Genomic DNA, 15,774 nt, shown 5'->3' on the forward strand with positions numbered 1-15,774 from the left:
TCGCGATTGTGGGCATTAGCATTACCTGGGAGGGGGTCACAGATGAGTGTTCATGCCCTCATCCCACTTCCATGTCAGCAGATCTGCGAAGGAGCCCGGGAATCAGCCTTTCAAAGCAGCTTCTTGCACAGCAGGCAGGGCCAGCGCCGGGGAAACACTGCTTGGCCAGTTGCCCCTCCCTGGCCTTAGAAGTATCCCTTGCAAAGGAGGGGACACAGTCTGGTAACTGCCTTCCCTGCTCTCACCCTGGGCTTTCTCCCCCTTACTGCCCCTCCCCAATCACCCTTAGAAGAACATTTCCAATGAGAGGTCCCAGGATCATCCAGCCTCACCCGGGAACTTGTTAGGAAAGCAAATTCCTGGGTTCTATTCCAGACTTACCCACCCAGGAAGTTTGGGAGGAGGACCTGACCGTTTGCTCTAGCAAGACCCCTGGCGTATCCCGAGTGAGGCTCCAGTTGGAGAAACACTAACTTAGAAGAAGGAGGAGACCTATGCTGGGATTTCTTGAGGAGTCACCCCCACTCACTAGCTGTATGATCTTGGAGAAGACGCTTAGCATCTTTGACCCCATTTCTGCAAGACAATGTGGATCTTTGATTTGTGTACATCCTTCGGAGCTGGGCACCTTCACCAAGCTGAAACCCAAGGGCATACATAGGCTGGGCAAGTTTTACCACCCACCCAGTTGCAGACAAGGTAATGGAGGCTGGAGGAGCTGTGCTGCAACCTGCCCAGACACAGCAGTGTATGATGGCGGGGCCTTGTTCTGCCGTCCACCAGGTCTAGGACACCCTCCCCATCCTGCAGAGTCAGCCTAGGTCATTGTCAAGACCAATGCTGACTTTCCAGGAATGCCATAGGCTGCAGAGCACGACTCCCAAGGCCTTGGGCTATGGGTCCCCAAAAGCCAGCAGCGATCAGCACCCAGAGTCCTCCACTGGCCTGGGAGAGAAGGGGGCATTGCTTCAACAGTTGCACTCTAGAATGGTCCCCGCAGTGGACACCAAGAAAGCCGCTCAAGCCAGGATCACAAGGGAGCAGATGGCCTCCAGGATGGGCCCAGGTTCTCCTTGAGAGTGTGTGTCCTTTGGTGCACCCTCCGCACCATCCCTGGGAGCGGGATTCTGAGCACAGTCACCGTGAGGGGGGCAGGGAATTCTAGTGGGGCCTGGCCAAGAGGCTGCCGCCCCAGCCCCACACACTGCAAAGCTTATTTTCCTACCTGCAGTGAGAGGGAGGTCCCAGCTCTGTTCAATGCAGCAGAGAGGGAGTTAGGGTCTGTAAGTAACAACGGGTCGAGCTTGAGAACCTGGAGACCTCAGCTGGGGAATGGGGATGGGCATGCATGATGCAAACTGCTCCCTGGCCAAAGCCAGGACTAGGGTGAGACCCAAGAGGCATTTGTCTCTGGCACAAAATTGAATAATGGATGCCCAAAAACCAAATGATCAAGATAATATCTTTTTTTTTTGAGACAGAGTCTTGCTCTGTCACCCAGACTGGAGTGCGGTGGCATGATCTTGGCTCACCACAACCCCTGTCTTCGAGGTTCAACTGATTCTCCTGCCTCAGCCTCCTGAGTAGCTGAGAGTAGCTGCCTGTAAATGCGTGCACCACCATGCCTGTTTTAGTAGAGAAGGGGTTTCGACATGTTGGCCAGGCTGGTCTTGAATGTGACACTTTTTAAAGATAACGTTAATACCAGAGAACGCTAATGAACAAAATATTTAAAAATATTAAAATTGTAAATAAAGACAGAATCTGACCCTGGCCTTGTAGAACCCTGCCTTGCTGGCCATCCTCTAATCCTGGCCCTGGTTTCAATAAAACTTTCTTCCTCATAACAGGCTAGCCAGTGGCAGCAAGCAGCAGTTTGCCGGTTTGGTTTTTTAAAATATTATTCTAAAGTATCATTTCTCAAGATTTTTGGTGCACAGTTAAATTTTGCAGCAAGTCCTCCCTGGTCCCACAATTCAGTGAACCTGCTCTGGCCTGAAATGTCCCACAGTGAGACGCTGGTAAGCCCGGCCGGACTAAATCACAGGTGCTGGGTATCCCAGCAGCCACAGGAGTCCTGCCGCTCAAGGCGGTTCCCGCGGGCTCTCTTCTCACTTGGTGAGACTGTATATTTGCAGAGAACATTCTCGACGCCATGGCTGCTGACTGGGCAGAGCCTTTGCCAGGGTATTTGCATCAAAGTCTTCTCAACTTTAAAGGTGTATGACATTTCTGAGACAAAATACAGCTCAGCTAATCATATTTTAATAGCTCTACCTTTACAAGCGGCCTGACTCGGAGTGTATACGGTAATATTTTAATTTCTCAGCTCTGATGAGCATCATTCCAACCAGGTATTCAGTTTCCCCATTTATAAATTTTGCTCCCAGATGTTGGATGCCAGAGAACTCTACATAACAGCTCTACCAATATAATATTTAATACTGGATGTCAGTTTTGGTGTTCCACTCAATTTCCTGGAAAGAGGTTGAAACTCCTCTGATTTAGGCAAAATATCCAATCAGTTGCATACTCCGAGGCCCGGCCCAGATTGCCATATAATACCACATAACTTGGGGCTCTCATTTCTGAAATGCAAATTTGGAGCAGATGTAGGAAAAGTTTGTCATTTATTTCCAAATGTAACAGTTATCAGGCCGAGTCACCGGGAGGGATAATTAGCAAGAGACCAAGTTCACAAGCCTGTCCCCCTAAACCAGGAGACTTGCTGGGAGACCTACCCCAGCCCCGGTGGGGAGAACAGCATGGGGGGTGTTGGGCTGGGGGTCTCAGATCAGCTACTGATGGAAGAGGCTACATTGGACCTGTAGGTCTGGAGCAGGTTTTGCATTTGACTTAGAATTTTTAAAATAATGGTTTTGGGACACAGGAAGGTGGTCAGCATGTAATCCTGCACTTCATTTTAAATATGAAGATCAGGCCAGGCGTGGTGGCTCGCGCCTGTAATCCCAGCATTTTGGGAGGATGAGGCGGGCGGATCACGTGAGGTTAGGAGTTTGAGACGAGCCTGCCCAAGATGGTGAAACCTCGTCTCTACTAAAAATACAAAAATTGGCGAGGTGTGATGGTGGGCACCTGTAATCCCAGCTATTCCGGAGGCTGAGGCAGGAGAATCGCTTGAGCCTGGGAGGCAGAGGTTGCAGTGAGCCAAGACTGTGCCACTGCAATCCAGCCTGGGTGACAAGAGCGAGACTCGGTCTCAAAAAAAAAAAAAAAAAAAAAAAAAACATGAAGTTTGGAGTATCTGCAGTCACAGTGTCACCCCAGGCTGACTAACTTCCCTCAGTCCAGCTCTCTCTGTATGATTTTGGGGGAGGCAGGTCACTCAGTTCTTTGAGACTCAGAGGAGCTTATTTTCTTGGCGATGCCTTCCTGGTGACCTTAATGCTTGTAGTCAGCTGAAGAAGAGCTGCCTGGGGTGCAAAAGCCACGAAAAACACCATGTTGTAGGTGGCCAGTGCCTCTAGGGAGCCAGACCAGCCTCCAGAGTGGGCCAGGGTGAGATATCCCAGGGTTGGGAGGTATTTTTCCGAGAAGTTACTTATCAACTAATTGGTACTTCCGTTTCCTCATCCCAAGGAGGAATGATTGGTTCCTCGCAGGATTCCCTGTGATGATATAAACAGGGTGGAGGAAACAATAAAGCAAAGTACATGGAGCTCCCGATGGGGTGGATTCCTGACATCCAGTACTGCATGCTGTTCATGGTCCAAACGTCACGGAGGCAAGATGACAAGTCCTTCAAAACAGGCCCTTCTAGGGGGACCGAATAATTTCCATCAGTGACTAGGAAGTTAAGAGGTCGTGCATCTAACCCCACCTCTCCTGGGACCTCACTGTGTGCCTCAGTTTCCCCTTCTGTCAAAAGAGAAGGTTGGGCATGGGAGCTTCAAAGTCCCTTTCAGCTCTCAGGAGACTTCCTTCCCTGCTGCCCTTGCTGGGGATGGAGGATGTAGACAAAGACCCCTTCCCATTTTCTTGTCAGGGGAAGAGGAATGTGAGTCCTTAGCATGTTGAGGCCCCAAGGAGAGCTTAAGGAGCCAGAGCTGCAATGGCATATGGAGGAAGTGTGTGGGTGGCTCCCAACTTTCCTGCCTCTTCCATTCTTGGTCTGGCCAAGTTCAGGAGCATCCCTCCTCTCGCCCTGCAAGGGCATCGAGTCACCCTCCCCTCCCTTCTCCCCTTGTCTCTTTCTTTCCTTCTTTCCAGATACCAAGCCGCTTGACCTCCACTGTAACGGCCTCAAGTCTCCCCATCGTCTGGGGGCTCTGCTGCTAATTGGGTCGTAAAAGATGATCCTACTGCATAGCTGTCTGCAAAGCGGGGCCCCCGTGACACAGGATCAATGAAATGCATAGCTGTCTGCAAAGCGGGGCCCCCGTGACACAGGATCAATGAAATGCAGACCACAGGGTGGGCTTACCTGCTGACACTCTGGGCAGAGCCAGGACTGCAGAAGTCAGAGGGTGACTGGATGCTCAGGATGGGAGAGGCAAAGACTGGGGGATGAATCATCCCTCCCTGGAGGCCTCCTCATGCCTCTGACCCCCCAGGCTTCTGTTAAAGCGGCCAAAGCCCTCCTCACGCACTCCAGTCAGAACATGGCCCCCTGGGGCTGCTTCGCAAAGGCCCACAGTCCCGCGAGACCCCGTCCAGAAAGAAGCCCCACGTCTGAGTGGCTCCACCTGGCAGTTCATTCATTCATTCACTCATTCGAGCATCACTCGTTTACCGAGTACCTCTGACAATTCTGGCACTGAGCTGCACCCTAGGAGTGCATGAATGGTGTGGCCAGGACCGTGGCTTTCCGTCTTGTCTGCTGTCACCTCCACATTAATAAAGCCCCGTGTTTAGTCGGGGGTGTGGCCACCCAGGCATGAAACTGCACTTCCTGCCTCCCTTGCAGCTAGCTGTGGCCATGTGATTGCACCCTGGTTAACAAAACTATGCAGGGTGTGGGGGGCCCTTCCTTCAAAAACAAACAAAAGAAACACAGTGGGCCCAAGCCCCTGGGTCCTTTCCTCTCAGTGGTCCTCTCTCCTGCTGGCTGGAATGCAGATGGGAGGGCTGAAGCTGAAGTGGCCAGTCTTGAGAAGGTGCCTGGGGACAGAGGACCCACATGGTAGAGCAACAGACAAAGAAGCCACTTCTCTGGACGGCTGGAGGGAAACGCATCTCTCCACCCTGGCCTGCCTTCCTCTAGACTTTAGTGTGAAAGAGAAAAACACAAAATCTACCTTCTTTAAGCTACTGTGACTTAGGGTTTTCCAGCTGAGGATAATTGAAACCTACACAGCAGGTCATGGTGCCACATCCTGGTGCAGGGCTGTTGGCAGCACAGAAAGCCCACTGGCCTGGTCTCAGGGGATTGGAGAGGCGTCCCGAGGGGTCTGTGTCTTGGCTGTGCCCTGTCAGGTGTGTTGGCCAAGGGAAGACGGGTAGGGAGGCATTTCAGGGCTGGAGGTGGGAAGAAGTTCAGTGTGTTTGGAGAAGCTCTGGACTCTTCAGGGTGGTGGGGACCCCTGCTTTGCATCTATAAAATACACCAGGCCTTAAAATATGTGACCTGTGATTCAAAGGGAGAGGCTACTGGCTGGAGTGCAGTGGCGCCATCTCTGCTCACTGCAACCTCTGCCTCCCAGGTTCAAGTGATTCTCCTGCCTCAGCCTGCCCAGTAGCTGGGATTGCAGGCACCTGCCACCACACCTGGCTAATTTTTGTATTTTTAGTAGAAATGGGGTTTCACCATGTTGGCCAGGCTGGTCTCGAACCCCCGACCTCAAGTATCCACCAGCCTCGGCCTCCCAAAGTGCTGGGATTATAGACGTGAGCCACCATGCCTGGCCTAGACTTCTGACTTTAAAGACTAGTAAAAACCTGATTCTATGCTCTTTGAAAATCTGCACCTGCAGAAATTCATCACTGTCATTTTGGCCTCGGAGAGACGCTTCTCAGCTGGGTTCAGGGCTGGATGACTTGTCCTGTCTTCCTGCCCCGGTGGTTGACATCCTCAGCCAGATGTTAAGCCCCCTCCTCTCCTTAGGTTCAGACTCTCCCCTTTCAAAATGCCAGCAAGTCCCAAAAGAACAGATGAAGGCGAGGGGCCAGGACAAGACCATCCCATGGCGGGCTGGGTGTTGGGCTGGATGGCTGCCCCCATCCAGTGACATAGGGCAAGGAAGTCCTGGCCAGATGCCAAAGGAGCACCAGCAACTCCAAATTCTTATCCTGTGCGTGGCTCTGGGGAATCATTTTATCAGATCAGCCTTCATACAAATAAATGAATCCATTGCCTCAGAGGGTCCCATTGTTGTCAAACGGAATCAGCATGCCTCTGTTTTTATTTCTGTGTAAATAACATCTGCTTCCAGAATTACTAGAATTTGTAGTAATAAGTGCACACATAAAGAGCTTAAATTTCTACATTGTTATTCTTCATTCATTTCTTCATTCGTTTGTTCTGTGAGATTGTCTGTCTTTTGACTTCTCTCTCTCTCTATTTTTCTGAGGCAAATTTCCTAAGACAAGCCTGAATTATTGGAAGTGGATCTAGGTCCTGAGGGGGGCACAGGGCACCGTTAGTGTCAGTTTCTTGGCCTGGGTGCTGGATACAGAACTGTATCCAGTGGGTGATGGTTGAAAAAGCTGTTCGTTTGTATCTCTGAAATTTTCTGCTTGTGTGTTATTCTTCAATAAGATGTTTATTAGATTAAAACAATGAGCTACCTCTACACACCTATGAAATGGCTAAAATCCAAAACAATGACAACACCAAATGCTGGTGAGGATGTGGAACAACCGGAGCTCTCATTCATTGACGGTGGGAATGCAAAATGGTGCAGCCACTTTGGAAGACAGTTTGGCAGTTTCTCATAAAACTAAACACACACGTATCATATGATCCAGCAATAGTGCTCTATAGTCCAAATGAGTTAAAAACTGACATCTAGAAAAAAAAACCTGCACACAATGTTTATAGCAGTTTTATTTATAATTGCCCAAACTTGGAAGCAACCAAGATGTCCTTTAGTAGGTGAATGGATAAACAAAATGTGGTACATTCAGACAATGGAATATTATTTAGCAATAAAAAGGAATGAGCTATCAACCCTTGAAAAGTCATAGAGGCACCTTCAATGCACATTGCTCGGTGAAAGAAGCCCATTTGCAAAGGCTACATAGCGTATGATTCCAACAATATGACATTCTGGGAAAGGCAAAACCATGGAGATGGTAAAAGGATCAGTGGTTGCTGGGGTTGAAGAGAGGGATGAATAGGAAGAGCACAGGGTATTTTAGGGCAGTGGAAGCACTCTGTATGATACTGTGATGGGGACACATGTCTTCTTTTTTGTGTTGAGACAGAATCTCACTCTGTTGCCCAGGCTGGAGTGCAGTGGCGCGATCTTGGCTCACTGCAACCTCCGCCTCCCAGGTTCAAGTAACTCTCCTGCCTCAGCCTCTGGACTCTGCAGTAGGCTGTATCATATGGTAATTCTATGACTAAAGCTTCTAGCATTTTTAAAACTGCTTACATGATGGTAAAGTCAGCATGAAACAGAGCCATAGCTCACTGAGCGCATGCAGCCTATGCAGGGAGCAGGCTAAGGGTTTCATGATCGGAATTCTGTTTAACGATCCCACCAACACCATGAGGTAGGTGATACTCTTGTCTCCATTTTACAGATGGAAAAACAGTCCCACAGCTGCTGTCAGAGGTGGAATCTAGCCCACTCTGAGGCCAAAACCTCTACTTGGACCTGTGGTGTTAGAATTCTATGAAGCTCTGTGGATGTAAAACTGAGAATGATCATGGCAGTAGATATTGGACACTGATCCTTGCAACCAATGAGGATGTGTGGCTGTGGATTCTCCACCAGGGACACTTGCTTGTCTACAAAGTGCATCATGGGACATGGGGTTGGATAACGCAGAGAGGATAATGCTCTCTGACTCAAATCATGCCTCTCCACATGGGATAGGAAGGAGAGTTGATTTTGCTATTCTTGCCACCAGGATATAATCAAACACGAGAATAGACCAGATATAGAAAGGACCCAACAGATATTCGCAGTCCGGGCAGGTGGTTAGTGCCCAGCATTAGGGCGCCAATGCCTCCTGCCAGCTTTATCTGCTCACTGCATGAGTTTTGCCACTCACAGAATAAGAACAACCTTGCATTTAGAACTTCACTCGTATATTCTATTGTGCCATCATGTGCTCTGATTATTAGCAGGTAATAAAGTTCCGTACTTGTAAGACCATTATAAGACAGTCAATCGCTTCCCTGAAGATGCTTAAATACTCATAAGAGTCTGGTCAGTGTGGTGTGACAGGAGCTGTCTGCAGGATGCCCTCTGGCCACAGTTGATCACATGACGAGTCTCTCTAGTCAAGGCAGGATTCAGTGCTGTCGATAAGCAAAAACTCCTGGCTGTGTTCAGTCCACCTCAAATGCATTTTCCATCTGTGGATTATTAAATTACATGCATATTTAACTGAAAATGATTATCTCCTCACTGGTTTCAGTGGACCTAGTTAGGGGAGGTATTTCAGTTCTGTCGTCGTTTTAAAATTAAAAATCAAAACATCAATTTCCATGTGCATGTTGATTCTTCCTCAGAAATACACACCGGGGTGTGTTACAATCATTTCTCAACCATTTGAGCTTTCGATGTACTTGTAGGTATGTTTATTTGGCCTCTGGCTGCGTTTTTCACTTAAAAATCAGGATCACATGTCTAATCTCAAAGGGTAGGATAATCCCGGCTCGCATGTGCGTTTGGCAAACGTTCGCATTGGTTTAGCATCAAGAAATGGCTTCCACGGGAGGATCTGCAATTTTATACTTTGCAAAAGACAGCTTTCTGTTGCATCCCCCATATTGTTAGGAACAAACTCTTTTCTTATTTGAAGAAAAGAACCTGCCCTTTTATGGGAAAACTAGTTCAGCTCTGTGTATATTATGCCACATGAAAGCAGTTTTGCCTTCATTTGTGGCTGCCTGATTACAAAGACAAGATCTTTAATTAAAATTGGTTTGGTTCTGTGTATTTCTTTCAAAGAAAACCATCGAAATAGCATTTGTGACTCATTACCTTCTTAACAGTGATGTTCTCCTTCTTGCCTCAGCATTGGGTCCATTTTGATGGAGATGCTGACCTCGAATGATCAGGGGACTGTGCCAACAAAGAGCTTTGTCTTCATCCTCAGGTTGGCTTTCTGGTGCTGTGACTTTGACCTGGGCAGTGAGTTTTTGTCTGAACAATTGTTTTGAGGGCATGGAAACCTCAGTCTTACCTGAGTCCAGGAGGGCATGGTTGAGGCCTCTGCAGGCCAGCTAGCATCCTCTGGGTGGGCCCCGGGCTGAAGCACCAGGGGATGCCCCCATTCACTTGGCTGGAAGGCCAGGGAAGGCCGGAGCTGATTTTCTCATTATCCCCATATGTCCAGGGTGGATTTGGAATCACATGGCTGGCAGGAACTCTTTCCAGCTGAGGAACAAGATTGCCTAGATCCGAAGGCTGTCTAACATGTTAGCAAAATTAGTGCTTAGCAATATTTTTGAGGATCTGTGGTTGGGTATTTTGTGTTTTTTCTTCTGCCAAAACAAGCTTGCTAACTTCTTTGCTTCTCTGTTTCCTGCAAAGAAAAGCAAGGGAGGGGGGACGCCAAATCATTTGCACATTTCACGTTGACGGAGCCCTGTGCTAGCACGATCGGAGGTCAGACGGGAAGCCAGGCTTCTCGGGCGGGGCTTGTAATAACAGAGTGACCCGGGCTCACTCACCCCACCCAGCACTTCCCACCTGATCCCAGCAGGAGCTGCTCTTAGCTGCTCTCCCTCCTCCTCTTCCATGAATCCAGAGCTTTCAAAAATTTGGCAGAGTAAATTGGAATCTTAGACTTTTCTAAGTGTGGGTTGTATTTTTCAGTTCTCCTTCCTCCCCACCTAAGCAAGACCAGCCATATCCCAATTCCTTAGGCAAGTCATGATGACAAGAGCTAAGCTTCAATGAGCACCTGCTGTGTACTGGGTCCAAGTGCGTTCTGCTCACTGATACCTTTAACCCTCATAATAACCTAGATCTGGATTGCTAAGATTGAGTCTTAGTTCTGCTGAGCAGTGTGACCTTGCACAAGTTACTTAACCTCTCTGTGACTCAGAAAGACACAGTGGAGAAAGTATGTGACTGACCTCAAAATGTTGTTTTAAGCAAATAAGGCTAAATATGCAATGCTCTTAAGAGTAGTTCTGGGTACATGATAAGCACCTCCGTCCCAGTGTTAGCTGTTACTGTCCCATTGTCCTGAAGCCAGGCGATTACCTAAGAGCACACAGTGCACTGCTGGCAGAGCTGGGCTTCGGGCTTTTGACGAGTAGGCTGCAGTGCCTTGGACAGAAGCAGCAGCTGCAAGATACCATCACTGTGTCGGGGTATGTGCAGAGAAGAGCTCCTTATGCAAGCATTCTTCAGTGGCTGCAGGCCATAGCTGCATGCAGGCAAACGCAATGCCAAGGCATGTGTGTGTGAAAGAAGGAAAATGTTCACCACCATCCTCTTGCCCCACCTTCTAAAAGAGAAAGGGTACTCCCTTTACTTGGCTGGTTCCTGGGCTGGAGTGTGGTGTGAGGACAAGGGAAGCAGGGTGGAGGCGATCTAGAAGATGGGACAGAGAGAGGCCACAGGATGTAACAGCCAGGGTGTGTGACCAGCCAAATGTCCATCAATGGAGCTTGGTTAAATAAATGGTAGTAGACTAAATATCACACAGCTGCCACCAAGATGGAGGAAGCTCTGTGGGGGCTGACAGGGAAGGAGCACCAAGGTATATTGTTAGGGGGAGAGCCAAACTGCAAAATGGTGTGTATGACGCACTAACTTTTGTGTAGGAGGAATAAGATATACACACTCTTTCCTTGCTATACTCGCAGACTTGGTTCCAGGACCCCTCAATATATCAAATCTGTGCATATTCTAGTCCTGCAGCCAGCCCTGTGGAACCCACGATACCAACAGTCAGCCCTCTGTGTGTGCAGGTTTCACATCCACGAACATCGTATTTCCATCCTTGTTTGGTTGAAAAAAATTCACATATAAATGGATACGTGGACTCAAACCCGTGTTGAACCAGTTCATACCTACGTTGTTCAGGGTCCACTGTAGTTGCGTTTTCTTTTATGTGCATGAAGTAATCCTAGAAGAATAAAACTGGTTATCCAGGAAGGGTGCAGAGAGGAGGAGATGCTAGAAACTGAGCAAATGGGGCACAGAGATGGGAGCAAGCTCTCTCTACATGTGTGTCTGTGTACTGTATGTACATATATTGTATATTGTATATATATGCTGTATACATAATTTCATCCACATATACATTATTAATTAATATTAATAAAACATTAATATTTATTAATGTCATAATCAATATAGTATTATATATTTCTATTTATATTATATACTTGTATAATTATATATTATTATAATGTTATAATTAATACATTAAAATTGCACATTAATTAATAAAACATTAATATTTGTTAATGTTATAATTAATAAATATACATGTGTATGTATATTAACCCATGTGAATAGTTAAATGTGTATATACTTAATAACAGAGCTTGAAAATATCATAAAGCAAAATTTTATAGTAAAAAAGGAGAAACCAAGAAATCAACCATCATAATTGGAGATGTTAAAATCCTCTCAGTAGTTGATCGAAGTAGGCAAAAGAAATCAGTAAAAATATAAAAGATTGGAACAACACTAGCGACCACTTGACCTAATAGAACATATAGAATACTCACTCAGCAAGTGTAGAAAACTCACTCTTTGTGACTGTATGTGAAACATTCGTCAAGACAGACCATATGCTGGAACATAAAACAGTTGTAATACATTGCAAAAGACTAAATGTCCAGAATATGTTCCCCGACCACAATGGAATTAAGTTAGAAATCAACAAGAAAATATCTGGAAAAAATCCCGAGAGACTTGGAAATTAAGGAACACTCTTCCAAATAACCCATGGGTCACAGAAGAAACCGCAGAGGAGCGGTGGATCAAAGAGCACGGACACTCACGCCTCCAGCAATAAAAGACTGGCTCAGCTGAGCCTGTGTGTCCTTGGATGACGCAGAACACAGTGGCCCCATCAGTCCAGAGAACCCGGAGCTGCCATGCTGTCTCTTGCCGAGGCAGTGGCAGAGGTTCCTGGAGTTTTGAACTCCCCTCCCAGCACCCACTAGAAGCCCACCCTTCTGGGATTGCCAGCTGGAGGGAGCCTCATGCTGAGGTGGGCAGGGAAGGTGATCCTTCATCCTGGTCTGGGAATGATTTTGTGTGGTGAAAATAGAAGCAGCACTTTTATCCAAGGAGAGAGGCATAATCACCAAATGCACATGAAATTGCTTAAACTCTGGGAGCCGACAGCCCCCTTGGTTTAATTACACAGCGGGGCCGTATTCTGCTGAAACCATTACATTTTAGATCTTCTCTCTCACACACATCCAGGCGCGCACACACACACACACACACACACCCTGCCCAGCCTCCGGGGGCAGCCAGCAGGACTTCCCATCCCCACCCTCCCTCCCTCTCTGAGATGGGAGTATATATTTAGCCTTTTGCAAGGTGAGGATATTTTTGAATTAGATATTTGTTCACATAGTCCAATATGCCTAAGTCCACAGGGATAGAGTGTAAGTTTCTTCCCCTCCTGTCCCTTCTGCATACTACCCAGCTACCCAGATACAACCAGCGCCATCAATCTCTTGCAAATCTTTCTGAAAATCATTCCCACCACAAGCCCATCTATCCCTCCACAGCCCTTATTCCGGAAGGGATATGTGAATTTTTGTATCATCTGTTTGCAGTAAGTAGCCAACCACTTCTCTTCCCAGCAAACAAGCTGGCCTCCTTCAGGATAGCTCCCTGTTAGAAGTCAAATAAAGGGTTCGTCTCCAAGGAGGGCCCGTTCCAGGTAGCGGTAGCTCGAGCCACAGCCACTGTGCCCAGAGCTGGTTAACGAGCCGGCCTTGAGGTCCCCACCCTCCCCAGTTGCAGCCGTGAAAGGCCCCCTTTGTGACAGGGGAGGGCTCCAATGGGACACAATGCTCTCTTGTCGGAAAGGCCTCCTGGAGCTGTCCAGGAGCAGCTGAGAAGGAAGGGAGCAATTTTTTAGCCGTTCCCGCAGGCTGGTGGAATCTGTGGAGACTCACGTTTCCAGGCCCGAGCTGGCACGTGGGCTCCTTCCCCCGGCAGACCTGACCTCTGCCTCGAGAAGGCCAGGGTGCAGGGTACAGAGCCTCAATGTCACCCTTCTCCAAGACAGGCTAGCCCTGGGGTGGGGGCCATAGGGGAGCGGCACCGGGCTTCGGCCACCCCTCTTGGCCACCAGAGGAGCAAGGCTCCTGGGAGGGTATGATGGCCAGAATGAAACTCAAATCTGTAGTTCCAGGTGATTCCATTCTTCCTGTTATTCTAAAACTAAGTGCTTCACACGTTTGGGAAGTATTATTAAATACGGGTCTGTTGGATGGTCTGTGGTCAGAGCTAATTTCTTCCAGTTTGCAGAGTCTAGTTACCAGACCCCTCCAGAGGAGCTGTCAGAATTGTTTTGGCTGCAAATGCCACTTGCAAAGTTTCTGCTGGCTCTGAGGCCTGGGCCCTGTGGAAGAGACCTGTGCCTTCGCAGCATTTCTTTAGAATTCGCTCCAAGATCGCAGTTCCCTCCTGGTTGGAATTTGAATGTAAAATCCAAGGCAATTGCGTGATCGCTGAAAACCTAACGGAGTAATTATTTTCCTTCACTCCAGTGGGATGAAAGTTTGAGATTTTGTGTTGTCTTAGGGTTACCCCAAAGGCAAACCTATAATTGATTTTTTTGAAAAAATGATCTGGCATTTTAAACATTCTTTTCACATTTCTCCAAAGCATTTGACAGACACAAATTCTCCCAACGTTCCAGAGAAAAGAGATGGGGATTATGTTCTGCTCTGGATTAGAAGATGCATCGGCAAGAGTGGAATGAGGTTTCCATTTGTCAAAAGAGGAATTCAGGGTTGAGGCTAAGACTCCTGGGTGTGCGTCCTGCTCCCAGCTGTCAGCCCCAAGGTTGCCATGGGGACAGACAGTGACATCTGATCAAGAGAACAGAGTGTAGATAGAGCCAGAGGGCCTGTGTTCAAATCCTGACCCTCCCTGTTCTAGCCATGAAAACCTGAGCAAGTTGCCTGACCTTTGGAGGCCTTAGTTTCCTCATCTGTAAAATGGGTGTAACAATATCATAGTATCTAACTGTATAATTAAAGAAGTTAATACTCAGAAGCGGGTTATAGGCCCTTGGTGCATAAAAAATGCTCAGTGTTGCTGTGCTCATCCTCTCTTCCTGCCCTTCCTTCACCCATGGCAAGGTGCCGCTCTCTGGAGGGAGCTGTCCAACTGTGGGCTTGCCAGGTGGCTGAAAGGCCAGCAAAGGGCCGAGGCGCTGACTTTTTGTCCCATTGATAAGCTCAGAAGTGGAGAATGACAAAAACCTTAAAGTGTCAGTCAGCACCTCAGAATAATCCTAAGTGGTGGTGCTACAAGGCTGGGCCCAACGTCAGATACAGGCAGAGCCTGGGCCTGCAGGGAAGAGGGACCCAGTCAGGGACAGTGTGATCTGACCTTGGCCCCTGCCATGGGCAGGTTTATGCATCAGTGTGGCCAGGCTGTAGTGCCCAGAGATTCAAACACTCATCTAAATGTTGCTGCAAAGGTATGCGGTGGATGTGTTTAACCTCTACCATCAGCCGGCTTTAAGAGAAGCAGATTACCTGTGACAGCGAGGGTGGGCCTCATCCAATCAGGTGAAGGCCTTATGAACCAAATATGAGGTTTTCCTGGGATGGAGGAATTCTGCTTGAAGAACACAGCATCAGCTCCTGCCTGGGATTCCAGCCTGCTGGCCTGCCCTGTGGATTTCAGACTTACCAACCTCCACAGCCATGTAAACCTCTGTGTGTGTGTGTGTGTGTGTGTGTGTGTGTGTGTGTGTGTGTGTCTGTGTGCGCGTGGTGGGGGGTGTTCTGTTTGTGTGTGTATGCGTGTGTGTGTATGCGTGTGTGTGTATGCGTGTGTTCTTTTTCTCTGGAAACCCTGATTGCTAATACCGCTCGTATGACTAAGCTGGTTGGGAGGTGTGAGGGGAGGGATGTCTTCTCATCAGTGCTGGAATGATAAGTTTCTATGCCACTTCTTGAGTGCTAGCTGGTTGCTGGGCAGAGTGCTAAGGGGTTCCACTGTCTCACTTAAGCCAACCTGTCACCTCCTTTCATTTCTCAAAACTTCCAAATGAGACACTGCTGTATCACAGGATTCATGCATTTAAAATTATAAGGTTATTTCTAAATTACTTAACCGAAGAGTTCAGCTGCTGATACTCCCACCAATAACAGATTTAATCCAGTGGGTGAAAAATGTTACTTCATTTTGTTTCTCCATTCATCTGTCAGTGGATATTTGGGTTGCCACCACCTCTTGGCTGTTGTGAACAGTGCTGCTGTGAATATGAGTGTGCAAATATCTCTTTGAGATCCAGTTGCTGTTTTTTTTTTTTTTGCTTCTTGTTTTTTTAAGCGATGGGTTAGCTCTATCGCCCAGGCTGGAATGAAGTGGTGTGATCATAGCTCACTACAGCAATGAACTCCTGGGCTCAAAAGATCCTCACTCCTCCACCTCCTGAGTGGGTGAGACTACAGGTGCAAGCCAC

The 15,774-nt window shown here is 47.9% G+C and overlaps 1 long non-coding RNA gene across 1 annotated transcript in view; it reads right to left on the reverse strand.

Annotated features, from left to right (window-relative positions):
• The window catches only part of FENDRR (FOXF1 adjacent non-coding developmental regulatory RNA), a 34,336-nt gene continuing 25,550 nt past the window's right edge, over positions 6,989 to 15,774 (reverse strand). The window contains exons 2-4 of the long non-coding RNA NR_033925.1: positions 11,169 to 11,220; positions 10,350 to 10,515; positions 6,989 to 9,663 (exon numbers count right to left, since the gene is read on the reverse strand). This is a non-coding gene — a long non-coding RNA (FOXF1 adjacent non-coding developmental regulatory RNA). The remainder of the gene's footprint in view (positions 9,664 to 10,349; positions 10,516 to 11,168; positions 11,221 to 15,774) is intronic.

This window comes from Homo sapiens, chromosome 16 (assembly GCF_000001405.40).
Source record: "Homo sapiens chromosome 16, GRCh38.p14 Primary Assembly".
NCBI classification, from domain to species: domain Eukaryota; kingdom Metazoa; phylum Chordata; class Mammalia; order Primates; family Hominidae; genus Homo; species Homo sapiens.